Source organism: Homo sapiens, chromosome 4, assembly GCF_000001405.40.
Source record: "Homo sapiens chromosome 4, GRCh38.p14 Primary Assembly".
NCBI lineage: Eukaryota > Metazoa > Chordata > Mammalia > Primates > Hominidae > Homo > Homo sapiens.
The window spans coordinates 78223760-78241477 of NC_000004.12; the positions used below are offsets into that span (position 1 = coordinate 78223760).

General features: G+C 37.9%; 1 protein-coding gene across 2 annotated transcripts in view; it reads left to right on the plus strand.

The window, feature by feature from the left end:
* Window positions 1-17718, plus strand: part of FRAS1 (Fraser extracellular matrix complex subunit 1) — a 486947-nt gene that overhangs the window by 166437 nt on the left and 302792 nt on the right. For both annotated transcript variants that reach the window (NM_025074.7, NM_001166133.2), the window contains exon 3: window positions 13751-13858. In NM_025074.7, coding sequence (NP_079350.5) covers window positions 13751-13858 — 108 coding nt within the window. The remainder of the gene's footprint in view (window positions 1-13750; window positions 13859-17718) is intronic.

The window sequence follows — 17718 nt, forward strand, 5'->3', positions numbered from 1 at the left end:
ATTATCTCTGACTTAGAAATTAGATTTCTATAATATTACATTTAATATTATATTTCCATAATATTTCTACTTTGAACCCAAGAAATGGAAATAGAAGCAGCTAAGCAATTCTTATACACTTCCTATTTGCCAAAATGAAAGAGGTTGATTTGAACAGTGTTGTGTAGTACAGTTTTGTTACTATATTATTATTATTATTTTATGTCATGTGCCTTTATGGAAAGCTTCCTAAAACATTTCCAGTGGAGAAACTGTTTTTATTTCCTTAGAAACTTAAGATCTTAGGAAGATATTGAGAGTCAGGCTGCTGAGACAGGGCTGGCCGCCCTTGAGGATCCCTGATTCCCTCCCTCCCAGAAATCCTTACCAGCTGAAAAAAGACAGGCTATAGGTAATAGTGGCAGCCAAAGTCAATTAGATCTATTGATCAGTGGCTCAAAACTGGTGAAAGCTGTTCTTCCTGAAACCAGAATCACTTTTCATTTGAAAGATCGTGGTCCTTGACGCCAGTCAGTCCTACTTTCAAATCCTGGCTTCACCAGTTGTGTGATAACTGACCAGACGTTCTTTATGTTCTTGTTTTATAAAACAGTAGTGGTAATAACTACTTCATAGTATTTTTATGAGGATTCAATGTCACATATAAATATACATACGTATGTATGCAATATGTCTATGTATGTAATATGTATATTATACCAATAATATACATGTGTATATATGTGTATGTAATAATTGCTCAGTAAATAGTAGCTATGAGGATGTGTGTGGGCATATAACTTTTGTTTTTTGAGGCAGAGTCCCACTTTGTTGCCCAGATTGGAGTGCAGTACTGTGATCATGGCTCACTGCAGCCTCGACTTCCCAGTCTCAAGCAATCCCCCCACCTCAGCTTCCCATGTAGCTGGGTCCACAGGTGCGCACCACGGCACCCAGCTAATTATTTATTTTTTGTTGAGATAGGGTCTCACTATGTTGCCCAGGCTGGTTTCAAACTCCTGGGCCCAAGTGATCCTCCTCCCTCAGCGTCCCAAAGTGCTGAGATTACAGACATAAGCCACTGTGTCTGGCTGGCATATAACTTTTGTAATGACATTTTAAAATGTGGCTTGGGAGATTTTTGTGTTTGATTTTTAAAAAGCAGTGTCTCTATGGATATCATATTTTGAAAGGTACCCTTTCTAACTTGTTTGCGCATTAGTAGTGGTCATATACTGAAATGCATGCAAAGGAAGAAATCCAGTGCATGATAAATTGCTTTACAAATTCCATGCAGGGGTGTACATTGATGACCTCTCTGAGAAACAGGTCATATAGGATGTGTCTGGAGCACAGGAAAGGTCTGAGGATGGATGTCTGAGAGCCTCTGTTCTACCCTTTGAGTGCTGAGCATGGTGCTAAGGAATCTCAGATGTGTTATCTGATATATCCCCCTGACATTCCTCTAGGATTGATTTTGTTATTTTTGTTCTTTTTAAGAAAAAGAAAATGGAGGCTTGGTCAAGATACTTACCTTGCTTATGGTTCTGGAATTGTTAAGTTAGGGAACTACATTTGAACTCAGAGTTACCTGAGTTTGCAATCCATCTCAAGATTATGGACCATGTGGGCTAATCTCTAAGTTTCATGGAGGAGGAACCAGAGGCCCAGGGAGGCGGTTTGTCTGGTTTACCCAGCTTGGTAAAGGCCAAGTCTGGGCCAGAATCCAGGTTCTGACTCCCAGTCCACGGCTCTTTTTCTATAGTATGTTCCCTCTCTAATTATTTATTTTGCTTTGTTCCCTAATTGTTTCAGAAGTCTTGCTTCTTTAACTATATTTCCAGCTCAAGAGCAGATGTAAAGGACCAGGCTGTAGTCTTCCGTATCTGGGTTAGACTGTATTCATCTATATCTTCCACATTGCTTACCATGTGATAGATCCTCAGTAAATTCTTGATGCCTTGAATTCTTCAAGAATTTACAGTCTAAAATTCTATTTTGAATGAGGCATAAATATATATAAATACACATATTGGGATTTATTCTTTAAGACATTCAGTTCATACTTGATAATAATGGCTCTCAATGTTATTGGATCCACTGCTTTGCCTTTATCCAGTCTGACAATTTTTATCTTTTAACATGTTCCTGCATTATAATTATTGATTAGGTTTATATCTACCTTACTATTTGCTTTCTATTTGTTACTCCCATTCTGTATATTTTTCCCCTTCTTTTTGTCTTTGAATCAATCCATTATGTTTTAAATATTTCAGTTCATTATTCTTAGTTTGTTAGTTAAACACACTTTTACTATTCCTTTAGTGGTTACCCTAGATATTACAATGTGTTAATCATTGTGTTAAACATTGTATTTACCTCTTCTCAGCCATTACTATAACCTTTGAATTCTCCGTTTTTTCATCCATCTCCTATCTTGCATGTTTTTGTGCATTTTGTATTTACACATGTGTTAAATCCCACCAGATGTTATTATTTTTGTTTTATATAGTTATTATTTAGATCTACCTATATATTTACCCTATTATTCTAAATTTCTTCCTACATTACTGTGTTTCTATTTAGAGTCATTTTCTTATTGCCTGGAGAACTTCCTTTAGTATTGTTTTAGTTTGGATCTGAAGGTGACAAATTCTCACTAGTTTTATTAATTTAAAACATTTTTATTTCATTTTCATTCTTGAAAGGTATTTTTGCTGGGTATAGAATTCTTAGTGACTGTTTTCATTCAGCAATTTAAAGATTTGTCTTCTGAGTTCCATCTTTTTTTTTTTAATGTGTGGAGAAGTTAGCTATCAGTTTTGGCATTTTTATTTGAAAATAATTTCCTACCCCTCTGTGGCTTAAAAGAGTTTTCTCTTTGCTGTTCATTTTTAGCAGTCTTATTCTGAAGTGCTTAGGTGTTGTTTTCTTTATTATTCTGATCAATATTCATAGCAATTCTTGAATTTGTGGCTTGGTATTTTTCTTCAGTTTTGGAAAATTCTTGGCCATATTTTAAAAAAATTTTGTTTCCGCCCATTTCTGTCATTTTGTCTTTAGAACTCAATCACCCATTTGTTGAACTTTGTAATATGTTCCATGTGTCACTAATGCTCTTTTCTGTGTTTTTTATCCTTTTGGTTTTTTCTGCTTCAGTTTAGATATTTTGTATTGACTTATATTCTTGTTTTCTTTAGGTATAGCCAGTCTGCCGTTAAGCAAAATTAATTTTATTTGTTTGACTTTTTGTGTTCTAGGATTTCCATTTAATTGCGTTTGTAGATACTGGTTATCTGTGGAAATATTAGTAGTTATTTAACATGTTTCAAGATATGTATCTATTGTCTTTCATTATCTTCATTAATTTCTGAATAAAATACAGTACAGCCTTTCCTTGACTAGTTAAGTCCCTGGATAATTCAGTGTATATTATTACATCATGATAAAGTACTTTGGGTTTATGTGTAAAATAGAGTTAGGATATATAATCAGATTTTTCACTGACATGAATGTCTGGACATTTGAAAGTCATGTGAAAGTGGGACACTTTTTCTTGGTGCAGTTATGTCTCACTCATTATATGACATCTAGAATTTAGGACCCCTATTCATTAAATGCTAGAATCACCTCTAAACCAGCAGCCTTCAAAGCAAATTTTTAAATGCCTCTTGAGATGGTATGGCCTCATGTAGGAGACCTGGTTAACATCATGAGGCTGAGTCACTGGCAATGAAACCTTGAACTCAGGGCCTCTGCCAGGTTTAGAAACACACTTAGTAGGATGTGGCTTTACCTAATTGAATGTGAGTGTTAGTACAACTCAGCCATTTAGTGGATGGCCAGTTTAAATGGCCAAGGGGCTGGCTAGAGGAAGAGTTAGGGATTGAGAACATGCAGCAGAGCTTTAAAAGATATGACACAGCTGTGGCATGCCAGATCACAATAGAATTGGCCTGGCATTCAGTCAGAAGTAGAGAAGCACTTTTAGAGCAAAGGTCTTGACTGATGTATTAATCTAGAAGGCAAGATCTCAAACAGCATAGATTGAAGGTGGCTACTGCAGCAGCAAGGATTTTCAAGGGCAGCATGTTGAACTTAATGCTGTCATCCGTGTATCCAACTTTTCAGCAATGACATCATAAAATAGTTAGCAATTCTCCAAATTTGAGAATATATGCCCATCTATCCATCCATCAACTCATTCAAAAACATTAAGTGCCTGCTATGTTTTAGTCACTACAAGAATACAAGGCTACCTATATATAAAGAAATTGTCCCTACTCTTGGGAAGGGAGAGAGAAAAGTCAAAAACTAATTATAAAATGAATGATAATGATCTAGTGGAGGAAGTTGACAAGAAAATAAATAATTTTAATATGAGAGATAATGGTGTAGCTATAATTTAATTTCATGTGCAAACATTTTGAATGTTTACTTTTTTCCCCCATTTCCCTTAGGAATATGAAATGAAGTCTCTGGGAGCTGAATTAATAGAGAAAGAAAGAAATTATAAGCTTAAGCTACAGTAAAGTCTCCCTAATATCTGGATTACTTAAAGTGGAAAGATGAGGCACATGTTTTACTCATAATGGAATTTCTGTGGTTAACATCTCTAGGAATTTATAATGGTTAATCTATCATAGGGGTTCTCTTAGATCAGGCTCTCACTATTACAGGATTATGTTAGAACAAGTGGAAAACTGGGTGTAAACAACAGACAGTTACAGAACTCAGCCTGTATTTCTATTGCTTCAGAATTTGGAATGAAGAGGAGCACATTTTCTGGGTATTTTATTTTATTCTATATTTTGAAGATATCCTATTTTGTGTGTGTATGTGTGTGTACTACTCTAGAAGTATAGTTTCTATAGCACTCAGTAGTGGAATATGTACAAACATTTAAGCAATGGAAAAGTTATCTTCTTCTTATCTTGGAAGCTGGAAATTCCAGCAGGGATTTTCTATAGCTCTAAATGCTACACCTACTCCCTCTGTCACCGAAAATATCGTGATCAACAGGCTTAGATTGTGGCAAGTGTCCGAGCTCATAGCTAACATTTATCGAGTACTTTCTAAGGACAAGTCACTGTGGTAATACAAGTACATTAACTTATTTCATCTTTACTGTCACCTGATTGAGTCCAATCTTATCCTTAGTTTGCATATTAGGAAACAGAGACTCAGAAAAGCTAAGAGATTTGTGCGGAGTCCTAAAGCTAAGAAGTAAATGAACTTGTGTTTGAACTCAAGTTTGCCTATTGTACCATTTTAGCATTGCTACCTGACTTAGTGTGGTATATGACCTATGTTCATAAACCAAGCCTGTGGGTATGGAGGTGGGTTTGGTGGGAAAAACATAAGCTTTGAAATCAGATGGACACTGGTTGAAATATAGGCATTAATACCATCAGTTACAAACTTTGGGACATTACTTAACCTCTCTGAACTTTGGTTTCCTTATCTGTAAAATGGAGATGATAAAATCTATCTCAAAGGTTTTAGGAAGAAATAAAAAGGTGAAAATGCCAAAGAATTTGGGACCCAGAGGTGCCCTCTTTGTCCTTGTTTTTTTTTTTTTTTTCTTTGTAAAACAAAACTTAGAGGACTAAGCCTGGCTTTGTGGAAGCAGGTGGAGCTTTGAGACATGAGGTAGTGGAATATTTACTTGGTTAAGGAGGCAGAAAAGGCTAATCTGAGGAAGTGATATTTCAGCTGAGACCTGGAGGATGTGTGGAAGTTAGATTAAGAAGGGTGGGAGTATGCTGTTGCAGGCATGCAAACATATTGGGCAAGTAAGTCCCTTAAGCTTCACAGTCCCTTTATCTGTAAATGTAGGCAGCACTGCCCTAGTGTGTCCTGCCTGGGTAGTCTGTTAAAGTCAGAGAGTAGAAGTAAGAGAGATTTGAAATGGTAAGACTGCTGTACAATATAAGGCATTGTTATTGATATTATATGATAACAGCACAGAATAAAAAAAAAAAAAGTCAGGGTTTGAATCCCAGATCTAGCCGCTCCTATTAGCTCCTAATAGCTGAGCTCTGGACAATTCACTCTGCCTTTTCACACCTTATTCCCTCATTTATAAAATCAGAGTCATGATGTCAGTTTCACAGGACGCTGTGAGAAGTTGTACCATCATGAGTATGTGGAGGACCTGGGAAGCACTTGGAGGCAGCTTGTCCCTTTCTTTCCGTCTCCCTACCTCCACCCTTGGCACCACACTATTCTAAGACTTCTGTACCAAAGCATGATGCTAACTTACTATGTTGTTGAGGGTCTCTTGCACAAAGACATTTTTAAGCTATAATTAGCAGCAATCTTTTCATCTGTGATTCATGCTGTTGTTTCTGTATACAAGTTGATACTCTTATAGCTATGTCTTCAGGTTTATCATTTTAAGACAGCTGGAGGAGGAGATCAGGTACAAGCTAATCATGCCAGGATGCTGAAATGGGAAACTGCTTAGGTTTTTGATGTGTAAAACAAGAAACTCCTTAAGGGGGTATTATATGAAACAAGCCTTTGAAATAGGTCTCAAACAGGAAGTGGATCACAATTTTGTTTTTTAATTAACCTGTATTTGCTCCTCCTGAAAGGAGATAATTTAATGTAAATACAAAGTCTCACATCTTTTCTTAGCGGTAAGTGTCCTCTGCTCCTTTTTATTTGGGACAGGATGAGGAGCTTTACATGAACTTTAAATTGAGAACCAATAGAAAAGGTATTGTTTATCTAAGCTGTCTGAAGAAGGGCACTTGGGGAAAGAATTGCACTCTAAAATAACCTTATGAAAGTTATTGATTCGTTTCTTCATGGTTCCCTGACAAACAAGGACCATTATTTCTGTGTCCGAATGGGAGCTGGGTCAAAGAATCCTTTTTTATAGATTATCTTTCCTGAAAACCAGACTTGTCAGGAAAATGAACCTCCAGAAATGAAGACATGAGACTTAATTGAATATTGCGTCCTGTTCGCTGCTTTGAAGGGCAAGTAGGAAACACTGTTAATTTTTAAAAATTTTACTGAGTACAAGAAGGTTTGGGGATAGCTCAGGAAATTTAGATAAATTGCTACTGTTATGTATTTGCTAAGTGCTTTTTATTTAAATTCCCTCCCCCATGACATTTCAACTCTGTAGTCCAGGGTCTATCTACATATAGTAGACTGGGGAAAAAGCATAACATTTTTTGTTTTTTTACCTTATATTTTATTTTATTGTTATTATTTTTTTGAGACGGAGTCTCACACTGTTGCCGGTGCTGGAGTGCAGTGGCACGAACTCGGCTCACTGCAACCTCCGCCTCCCGGGTTCAAACGATTCTCCTGCCTCAGCCTCTTGAGTAGCTGGGATTACAGGCGCCTGCCACCATGCCCAGCAATTTTTTTTCTATTTTTAGTAGCGATGGGGCTTCACCATGTTGGCCAGGCTGGTCTCAAACTCCTGACCTCGTGATTCACCCTCCTTGGTCTCCCAAAGTGCTGGGATTACAGGCGTGAGCCACTGTGCCTGGGCACCTTATATTTTAAAAGTAACTTCAAAAGATCACATAAATTATATATATATATAAATTATATATCTTTGTTGTTGAAAAACGGAAAATACAGATAAGGATAAAGGAAAACAAAAAATCATCTGGAACTCACACACAGAATTATCTACCCCTCACTTACTGGTTTATATAATTCCACAGTTTGTTTCTATGCACATAGATATATTTTTATTACAAAAATATTATATCTACATACTGTTTTGTAACTTGAAAACACAGCTTTTGGGGAGCTTTATTCTTTCTTTCTCACTTTTGGTCTAAGAAGCCAAGGGAATTTAAAATGAGATGAATTAATCAATAATTAAAGTAGGGTTATTACACCATTTAGATGAAAGAAAATTTATGTTGACAGTTGATATACTGCTCTTTAGAATTCTATAAATAATCCCCCCCAGAAATTTGAGCACTTATTAAAGATATATTTATTGTTTATTATTAGCATTAATCAAATATTCAGTAAATACTTTCCCAAGTGAAACAAGTTGTTTTTTTTTTAAAGCACCTTGCTATTACTTTGAAGTATTTGGGGATGGAGGCATTATATTATTTGCAAGAACATTTTATTCATATATTATTAAAAATATTAAAAGCTGTTTACAAAGATATTTTGATTGCTTTTTAGGCTTGTCATAATCTAATCCTTTAATCTATTTTCTAGTGAAAAGCTATTTTAAGAGTATTTCTTTTGCTGAATGTGTTAGATTGGAAAGGAGGATTTTAAAGTGTCGGAATTGCAATAGCAACATGGAAAATCTGTAAAACTTAGTTTACAATGTTATTACTTTGGATTTTATGGCTTTATCCAAAGTTCTAGCTATTGAAGAACTCTAGCTTCCCTGCTTTCATAAAGCAACTTTATGTGACCATATAATTGATTTGTAAAGATTAAGACCTGAAAAACATGGCCATCTGTCCAGGCCTTGGTAAAGGACTCATTTTACTTAAAATTAACCATAACACATTATTTAGTTCCATAGAGATATTAATACAAGGAAGATTTTTTTTTTTTTTTGAGACAATGTCTCACTCTGTCTTCCAGGCTGGAGTGCAGTGGTGCGATCTCGGCTCACTGCAAGCTCCGCCTCCCGGGTTCATGCCATTCTCCTGCCTCAGCCTCCCAAGTAGCTGGGACTACAGGCGCCCGCCACCATGCCCAGCTAATTTTTTGTGTTTTTAGTAGAGACAGGGTTTCACCGTGTTAGCCAGTATGGTTTCAATCTCCTGACCTCGTGATCTGCCTGCCTCAGCCTCCCAAAGTGCTGGGATTACAGGCGTGAGCCACCGTGCCTGGCTGGTACAAGGAAGATTTTTGATAGGTCCAATACCTAGATGAAGAAAATTTTTCTGTAAACATAGTTTGACATTAATGTAGTAATGACATTCAACATTATAAAGATTTTGTAGTGACATCATTTAAACATTGTTTTCTCAAGCTCTCACAACCTATCTGGAGTATCTCAATTCTTATGAATAGATATTTTTGTGTGGGTAAACAAACTCAGGGTTGATTATTAATTAATTCAGTCAACATACAGAAACTGTGCTAAGTGAATTTTGAGATATACAAAGAGGAATCAAATGAGATCTCCTTGTTTGAAGAGTCATAGTCTGCTGGGAAGACAGATAGGTAAACATATCAGGAAGGCTTCCTAAGCCCAGATACATTTAAACTTTGAATTAACATAAAGAAAAACTATGGTTTTGTGAATGAAAGAATGAAAGTGAATAACCTACTCCATGTTCTTAGAAGATACTGTTTACAGTTTAGTAAGCCAAGTCCAGCGACTGAGGGCTGCTTAAAAGTATAATGGACTGCTTTCAAGTTTGGAGGTCACTGTCAAAATAATTGAAGTGCAGAGAAGAACTCACCTCAAGAAGTAAGAATGTTGCATCTGGAGAGAATAAATATGGCTGGCACTTAGAGTCATACCAAGCTTAAGGGAGCACATAAAAGCTGGCGTGGCCAACCAATGTCTGGCTCAAAGACATGGCCCATGATTATACCAGCTTAGTGAGATAGAGACTTTTTGAATTTCCCAAGTTGTCTTGAAAACTCAACCTATAGTTTCATTTCTCCCTTATTCAACAATGTTCTGGATCCTCTAAATGCTAGGGTCCTAATTAAGTAATAATTTCACTCTGCTAGGTTTTACTTGTGTAGACTGGAATGAGAAGATGGGAAAGTCAAAGTACTTATAGGACTGTTTTCCCTTTGAGAAAATGAAATAGTTAGAAGACATTTGCTGAATGCCTGTGACATAATATAAAACATTCGGATTAAAAATAAATTACATTTAATGGTCCCTTAATAAGTGCCAGACACTGTTCACATATCTTTAAATACAGCATCTCCTTTGATGCTTTCAATAAACTTATTGAATAAGTACTTTCTCATTTCTATTTTACAGATGAAGAAACTGGGCATAGACATGTTAACTCAATAACAAACTCAGTTAATAAATGGTGTCACCAGGATTCAAACCTAGTCAGTCTGTCTCCAGAGCCTGAGTCCTTAGGTCTCCTAACAACTCTGTGAACTTGGGCAACTGGTTCAATCTCACTCATCCTGTTTTCTCATCTGTAAAATCGAAATCATAATAATAGTGCCAGTTTCATAGGGTTGACATGTATGTAAGGGCTTTGTGTAGCATTGACTACAGATACTTTCTCCAGCCTTGCAGGAAGATGGCAGAGGTGGGAAAAGCCACCCTCCCTCTATTCCACAATTGTCCCTGTGGTCAGCACTTCCTGCTCCCAGAGTGGGGAGCGTAAGTAAGTGATCAATAAATAGTAGCTGCTGGCTTTGTGAAGCAGTCATTTTTATTTAATCTGTATCCTGAAACCAAGATTGTTTTCTTGAAATCAGCAGGAAACGTACTACATTGTGCTTGGGAATAAACTTGTTTTTCCTCACCTTCTTGTTTTATTTTATTTATTTTTATTTATTTTTTTGAGACAGAGTCTCGCTCTGTCACCCAGGCTGGAGTGCAGTGGCGCGATCTTGGCTCACTGCAAGCTCCGCCTCCCGGGTTCACGCCATTCTCCTGCCTCTGCCTCCCGAGTAGCTGGGACTACAGGCACCCGCCACTGCGCCCGGCTAATTTTTTGTATTTTTAGTAGAGACGGGGTTTCGCTGTGTTAGCCAGGATGATCTCGATCTCCTGACCTCGTGATCCACCCGCCTCGGCCCCCGAAAGTGCTGGGATTACAGGCGTGAGCTGCCGCACCTGGCCTTTTCCTCACCTTCTTGTCATTGCTCTTTGGGTTAGGAGTAGACTGTAATAGTTACACTATTGCCAATTTTGAGTAATGTGCTATAGCAATAAAAAGAAAGAAATTCAGAGGTATTCTAAGCAAAGTTCTGGTGCTCTTCTGCTTTGATTCAGTATTTTTGTAAATCAGACACTGGGAATGTAATCTCACCTCAGATAGACTTTATATTTCCTAAATGACTTTGGAGAGGCCACAGAGTTTGAAGCACATTCCCTGAGAGGTTATGAATTTAGCATTTCTTGACTTTAAAGGGTGATTTTATTTTTTGCTTGGAAATGTTGTGTATATATCCATGTAAATCTACACCAATGTTGGTATATTAGTCTAGGTTCTCCAGAGAATCAACAATATATTCATATACGTCCTATTGGATATCTCTCTAAGACAGAGGCAGAGAGATTTATTTTAAGGGATTGGCTCATGCGATCATTGCGACTGGCAAGTTCAAACTGTATTATAGAGCAGGTCAGCAGTCTGGGAACTTGGGCAGAAATGCTATATTTTAGTCTTGAGGCTGAATTCCCTTTTTTTCCAGGAAACCTCAGTTTTTGTGGTTAAGGTCACTAACTGATTGGATGAGTCCACCCATATTACAGAGGGTCATCTCCTTTGCTTAAAAGTCAACTGATTGTTCATGGTACTCTCCTCTACAAAGTACCTCCACAGCGACATTGAGACTAGTGTTTGACCAAACAAGTGGGCACCATAGCCTAGCTAAGCTGGCACATGAAATTAACCATCACATTTGGTTTCTGCCATTTTGTGTGAAAATGTCCATTGCTAGCATCCACCAGTTTCCTAGCTCATCTCAGCTCTAATTGGATGTTGGTGTTCTAAGGACTCTGTCAGGAGCTTGGAAACTTATCTTACTCTTCCCTAAAGTATTTTAGTAGGACTCCAACTACTTGTTGACTAAGGAAAACAGGGTGAGAAAGTTTAGAAAGGAGGGAACAGGCCTTCATTAAGCAACTTAGGAACTATGAACTCTTGCTTCCTAAGGATCTATAGTGTGCCAGGCCAAGGATAGTTCCCACTTCAGGCACCCACAGTCTGGTCCAGCAAGGCTAACAGGAATATAAATGAGTGCAATAAAGTGTGACAGAGCCAGGCTCAGTGGCTCATGCCTGTAGGCCCAGCACTTTGGAAAGCTAAGGCAGGCAGATTGCTTAAGCCTAGGAGTTGGTCACCAGCCTGGTCAACATGGTGAAACCCTGTCTTTACAAAAAATACAGAAATTATCTGAGTGTGGTGGTGCATGCCAGTAGTCCCACCTACTTGGGAGGCTGAGGTGGGAGGATCAGTTGAGCCTGGGAAGTTGAGGCTGCAGTGAGCTGTGATCATGCCACTGCACTTCAGCCTGGTGACACAGTGAGACCCTGTTACAAAACAAAACAAAACAACAGTGTAACAGTGCATGCAGGAAAAAGTGAGGTCACAGAGGGATAGTGAAGAGCTATACCTGAATGGCAGTTAAAGGTTAGGAATGATTCATCTCTGAGGTGCTGAGACTTAGAAGAAGCTTCTTGGTTGCAAATGCTTCTCAGGAAAAGTCAGAGAAGAGTAGAAATCCAGGGGAGAATGAGATATGAGAACAGGAAAGAGGAGGCTGGGGTTGTCCAATAGTGTTGACCAAGTTGTCAAGGCCAGGGAGATAGGTGAGGATCAGATTATGGGGTCTGCATTTTATCTCATTGGAGATAAAGATGAGCCATGAAATAGTTGCATTTATTTATTTATTTATTTATTTTTTGGCTTTGAGGTTTTTTTAAAATTTTTTATTTCAATAGATTTTTTGGGAACAGGTGGTGTTTACATGGAGAAATACTTTAGTGATGATTTCTGAGATTTTGGTGCACCCATCACCTGAGCAGTGTACACTTTTAAACCAGAGAATAACATGGACAGCACTCTTCAAAAAGATTTAGTGTTTGAAATTTAGCCAAACAGTATGGCTGCTTTCAACTCTAATAGGAATTTGGGCTAGGAAATCTCTGGGAAAATGAATCTCAGTACAGCCCATGGGATCTTTAGTGTTTCAATCTGAAGTCATGAGAGCAGCCTTTCAATGGACAGAAACAGGTATCTGTGGAAGCTATGAGATAGTTGGTTTCAAAGTTACTTCAAAATGGGCACAACTGAAATGTGGATTCAGCATGAGGAAAGGTGAGAAATAGGGAAGGAATTTCTGAGACCCTTAACTGAGCCAGGGTTCACTTTTCTGTTTGTGACCATTGTTTTCCTTTCCAATTTGTGGAGTAATAACATAGTAACATTAAGTTATGTTTATTTAATTCTCTCATGTTCATGACCCCAAATAATTTGTGAGATCCTTATGGATACTGCCCACACTTATGCTTCATTTATACCTCAATATGCCCAGCACCCAGCCAGGCACAAAATAGTCACTCATACATATGTTGGTGCATCTGTCTTTAAAAATCCAACTACTTACTCAAATCCTTGTTTCTGATGAATGTTAGACGATGAAGTAGCAAAGAGCTGAAAAATGAAGCCTGTGGTGCTTATAGTATCTAGTGGCGAATACTGCTTTTAGGATGCTGGTTAGTGCTAGTCAAAAGTGTCATTTTCCTTTAAACGTGCTCCAGTGGTTTCTGCTAGTTAACAGCAAAGTGAAACTTCAAGTCAGGGAGCAACTTGTCCTCCTGTGGTTTCAGGCCAATCGATGATTTTTACTCTGGGTATTGACAGCTCTCTGCCGCATCCCCTTGTCTTTGGCTACGTGGATTGACTATTGTGAAATGGATTATACTGATTATATTGCCTTGTGGGGTTTAATCAGTGCCCAGCAAGTACTGTGTGTGGTGTGCCTGTGACTTTTCTTTGTCTTGTAATTGTCCAGGATGTGGGACTATTGATGGTGCAGCTTTTGTGTGCTCATACCTTGACTGATCAGTTTTTAAATCAGAGCTTATGCCTCTTTACAGGATGCCACAATTTGGAAGCCCGATTCATGCCAGAGCTGCCGTTGCCATGGTGATATTGTTATCTGCAAACCTGCTGTTTGCAGAAACCCTCAATGTGCCTTTGAGAAGGTACGGTATCCTAATTGTGTCCTAAATGTATTGGTAAAGTCAGTGAAGGGTCAGGTTTTTGGATCATTTCAGACATCTGTTTTTGACATTTATTCTAATCTCTACCTGGGAGCTTAATGAAATGCAGAAGAGAATTTTAACGTATTGCATCTAAGAATATCCTATTTTCCAGAATTTTAACATATCATATCAAAGAACATCCCAATTTCCATTTATTGGGCATTTACTCTGGACCAGGGACTTGGCTTAAGGTCTTAATAATGTTATCCCATTTAATATTATGTGGGTTAGGTATCTTTATCCCCACTTTATAGATGAGGAATGTGAAGCCTGGAGATTTTAAGCAACTTAACCATGATCATGCAATTAATAAACTGCTGCCCAGAGATTTTACCTGAAGTCTGACTGATGCCAAAGCTACTGACATTAACTTCAACATGCATGAACCATCGAATGGATTGAAAGTCAGAACTGACTTATTGAAAAAGATTTTCTAAAAATATCATTTGGGTCTGCCACTGATTGTATTATTGTGCTACTATTGGGCTCCCTAGGAACATAAGCAAGTCTTTGACTCAATAAATCTCCTTGTATTTGACCAAGTCTATGATTGGTATTTCCTCCCTTCCCTTCTGTTAAAAATTTTCAGTTTTCTTCTGACTACACATCTATTCTGTTAGAATAATACTTTTTCTAGTTGCTGACTCTTTTCTTTTTAAAGTGAATCTATTTTTTAAAAAAGCTTAAGCTTTAAATTTGAACTTCTGAAACTCCCAGGACAAGACCAATTATTGTATTCATAAAGCATTCTGTCAATTTAAAAAGTTTATTTTTCTAGTTTTTGGCTTCCTCCAATAATTAATCTTGAGTCTTTATGCCATCTAATGCTAATAAGGTTCTGTTTGTACCAGACACTGAAGTGAAGGTATGCCTTTAAGAGTATTCCTTCATTTCTGCATGAGTGTATTCCTGAGAAGCTGGGAGTACTTTAAGTATTGGCAAATTTGATAAGATTTTTATTGTATATTATGGAGCTTTATGTTTATAGGGTAAATATTCCTAAAAAAATCATTATTTGGCTTGCTAAGCAAGTCATGTCAGAATCTGAGCTGGTGGCAAAAACGCCATGAAAAATGCCCTTCCCCACTTCATGTGAAGAATTGTGTTATCATGGAAGAAGCCCTGAATCACATGTTAGAAGACATAGATTGCATTGCTGAAATCTAAACATGCTCTATATCAGGGGTTAGCAGACTAAATCTGGCCCACTGCCTGTTTTTGTGCAGCTTATGATCTAAGAGTGGCTTTTACATTTTGAAATGATTGAAAAAATAAAAAATAGTATTTTATAATGTGAAAATTATGTGAAATCAAATTTCACCATTGATAAATAAAATTTTATGGAAACACGGGCTCACTTATTTGTTTATGTATAGACCTTGGCTGCAACAATAGCATTGTATAGTTGCCATGTAGACCATGTGTGACTCTCAAAAGCTAAATATTTACTATCTGGCCCTTCACAGAAAAAGTCTCCCATCTTTGTTATATATCAAACTTGTGATTTCATCTCTTCCTAATTTGCTCTCCTAATTTTTCTCATCTTGGTAAATGGCAACCCCATTCTCCCAGTTGCTTTGGCCCAAAAACTTAACATCACTTTTGACTCCCCACTTTCTCCCACATCCCATATCTAGTACATTAACAACCCCCTCCCAGCTCTTCCTTCATGAAACAGTAAATTCCAAATGTGACTTCTTTGCTGTCAGTCTGGTTCCATTATTATCATCCTTTTGTCTGTATTCTCACAATAGCCTCTTAACTGGTTTTGCTGTTTCTATACTTGCCTTTTTCACTGTAATTTTGATATAGTAGCCACAGTGATCCTAATATAATTGAACTCAGATCATGTTGCTTCTCTCCTTAAACCCCTCCAATGGCTTCCAGTGGCTTCTCTTCTTACTCAAAGTAACATTTCCCAATGTCCTTTAAGGTACTACTATACCCCTCTAATTAATATTCTACTGTTTTCTCCCTTGCTCACTGCTTCAGACACCAAGCCTCCTTGCTGTTCCCTGAATATATATGTATATATCTGAGAGAACAATTTCAGAGGGAACAGCAAAGTGCAAAGGCTCTATGGCAGAAGTGTGCCTGGTATGCATATATATATGAGAGAGATGTGTGTTTATATACATATATGTATACATATATTACTTGATCTTTTACTTCAAGTCTTGCCTGGATGCCATTCTGTGTAAAATTGCAAATCTCTGCCCCCTACCACACATTTTGTATTCCTCTTCCAGACTTTATTTTTCTTTTTGATACTAACTACTATCTATTTTAATGGTATTTTTCGTTTACTGTCTCTTTTATTCTCTGTATATCCACAGCATCTACAGTAACACCTGACACATGGTAGGCACTCAATAATTTTTTTTTTTACTGACTGAATGAATGAATTAATGAGAGATGAGGCTAGAAAGTTGGTAAGTTTGAGGTTATGCAGAGCCTTGTATGCTGTAGTATGGAGTTTGGAATTTTATTTTTAAGGTTATGGAATACTAACAAAGGTTTTAGGTGTAAGGGTGGAATGTCTGGCTTTTTTAGAAAAAAAGTATCTCTGGTTTTTCAAAGATAATGCATAATATTAGAAATGAGGAGATCAGTTCAGAGGCTGAGAGAATCACCCAGAGAGGATGAGTTGCACAACTGGAGCACTGATAGTGTAGGGATCAAGAGATAAGGGCAGGTGTGACAAGTATTTAGGGGATAAATCAGCAGAACTGGCTGAAGGTAGGAGGGTGACAGAAAGGAAAAGGAGAAACGACTGCCATATTTATGGCTTAATGACTAGTTGGTTAGCTGAGTCACCAGCTGATATTGAGAATACAGGAGGATTAAGAAAAACAGCCCATCTGGGAAAAATGGCAATTTCAGTTTGGGACAAATTGGTTTGAAATGTCTGGGAAAGACCCAGGTGGATATGTCAGAATGGTAGCTGGATATGTAAGTCTAAGGCTCAGAGGAGACGATGGGGCTGGAGATATAATGTAGCTGTCATCAGCACATAGATCGTATTGCAAACATGTAGAATTAAAGAACTCATCCAAAGAGATTGTGTGAGAAAAGGGTACAAGATGAAGGATGGAATTTGGGGAGCACAGTCATTTAAGGGGAGGTGAGCATAAGAGAAAGTGCTTAAGAAGATTGAGAAGCCATGGTCAGAGGGGTGAAAGGAAAGAAATGGTCAAAGAAGAGAGTAATATTATAGTCACCAAGGAGAGTAGAAGATGCCCAGAAAGTTTGTATTAACCGTGTTGAGCACAGTTAAAGGAGTAAGTGGGAGGAGAACTTAATATGGCCCTTCAGATCTGGCAGCATGTAGGCCACCGGTGGCCACGCTGAGGTTGATCTCAATGGAGTGGGGGGAGCGGAGACTGTATTGCAGAGGCATAAGGAGTGAATGGAAAGTGGGGAAAGGAAGGCTGAATAAAGGCCATCCTTTCAGGAGCTTGACTGAGGGGTGGAAGGAGAGAAGTGGGGCCTTAGGTAGGCAACATTACATCTGAGAGGTTTCTCTGAATCTCCCATCCCCAACCATCAAGCCCTTCGGTGTGCTTCCACGGCACTTTGTGCTTGCCCTATTCATACCCCTTGACTAGACTGCAATGCCTGTTTACTTATCTGCTTCTTCCTCCAGACTCTTAGCTCCTTGAGAGCAGGAATCTTGCCATCTTCACTATTGCAGCCCGTCAAACAGCATAGTACGCAGCACACAGAAGGCACCTAGTCAACATTTTTGTAATGATCTCATAAGGGAAAGGAGAGGGTTTTGTTTTGTTTTACTTTTTAGT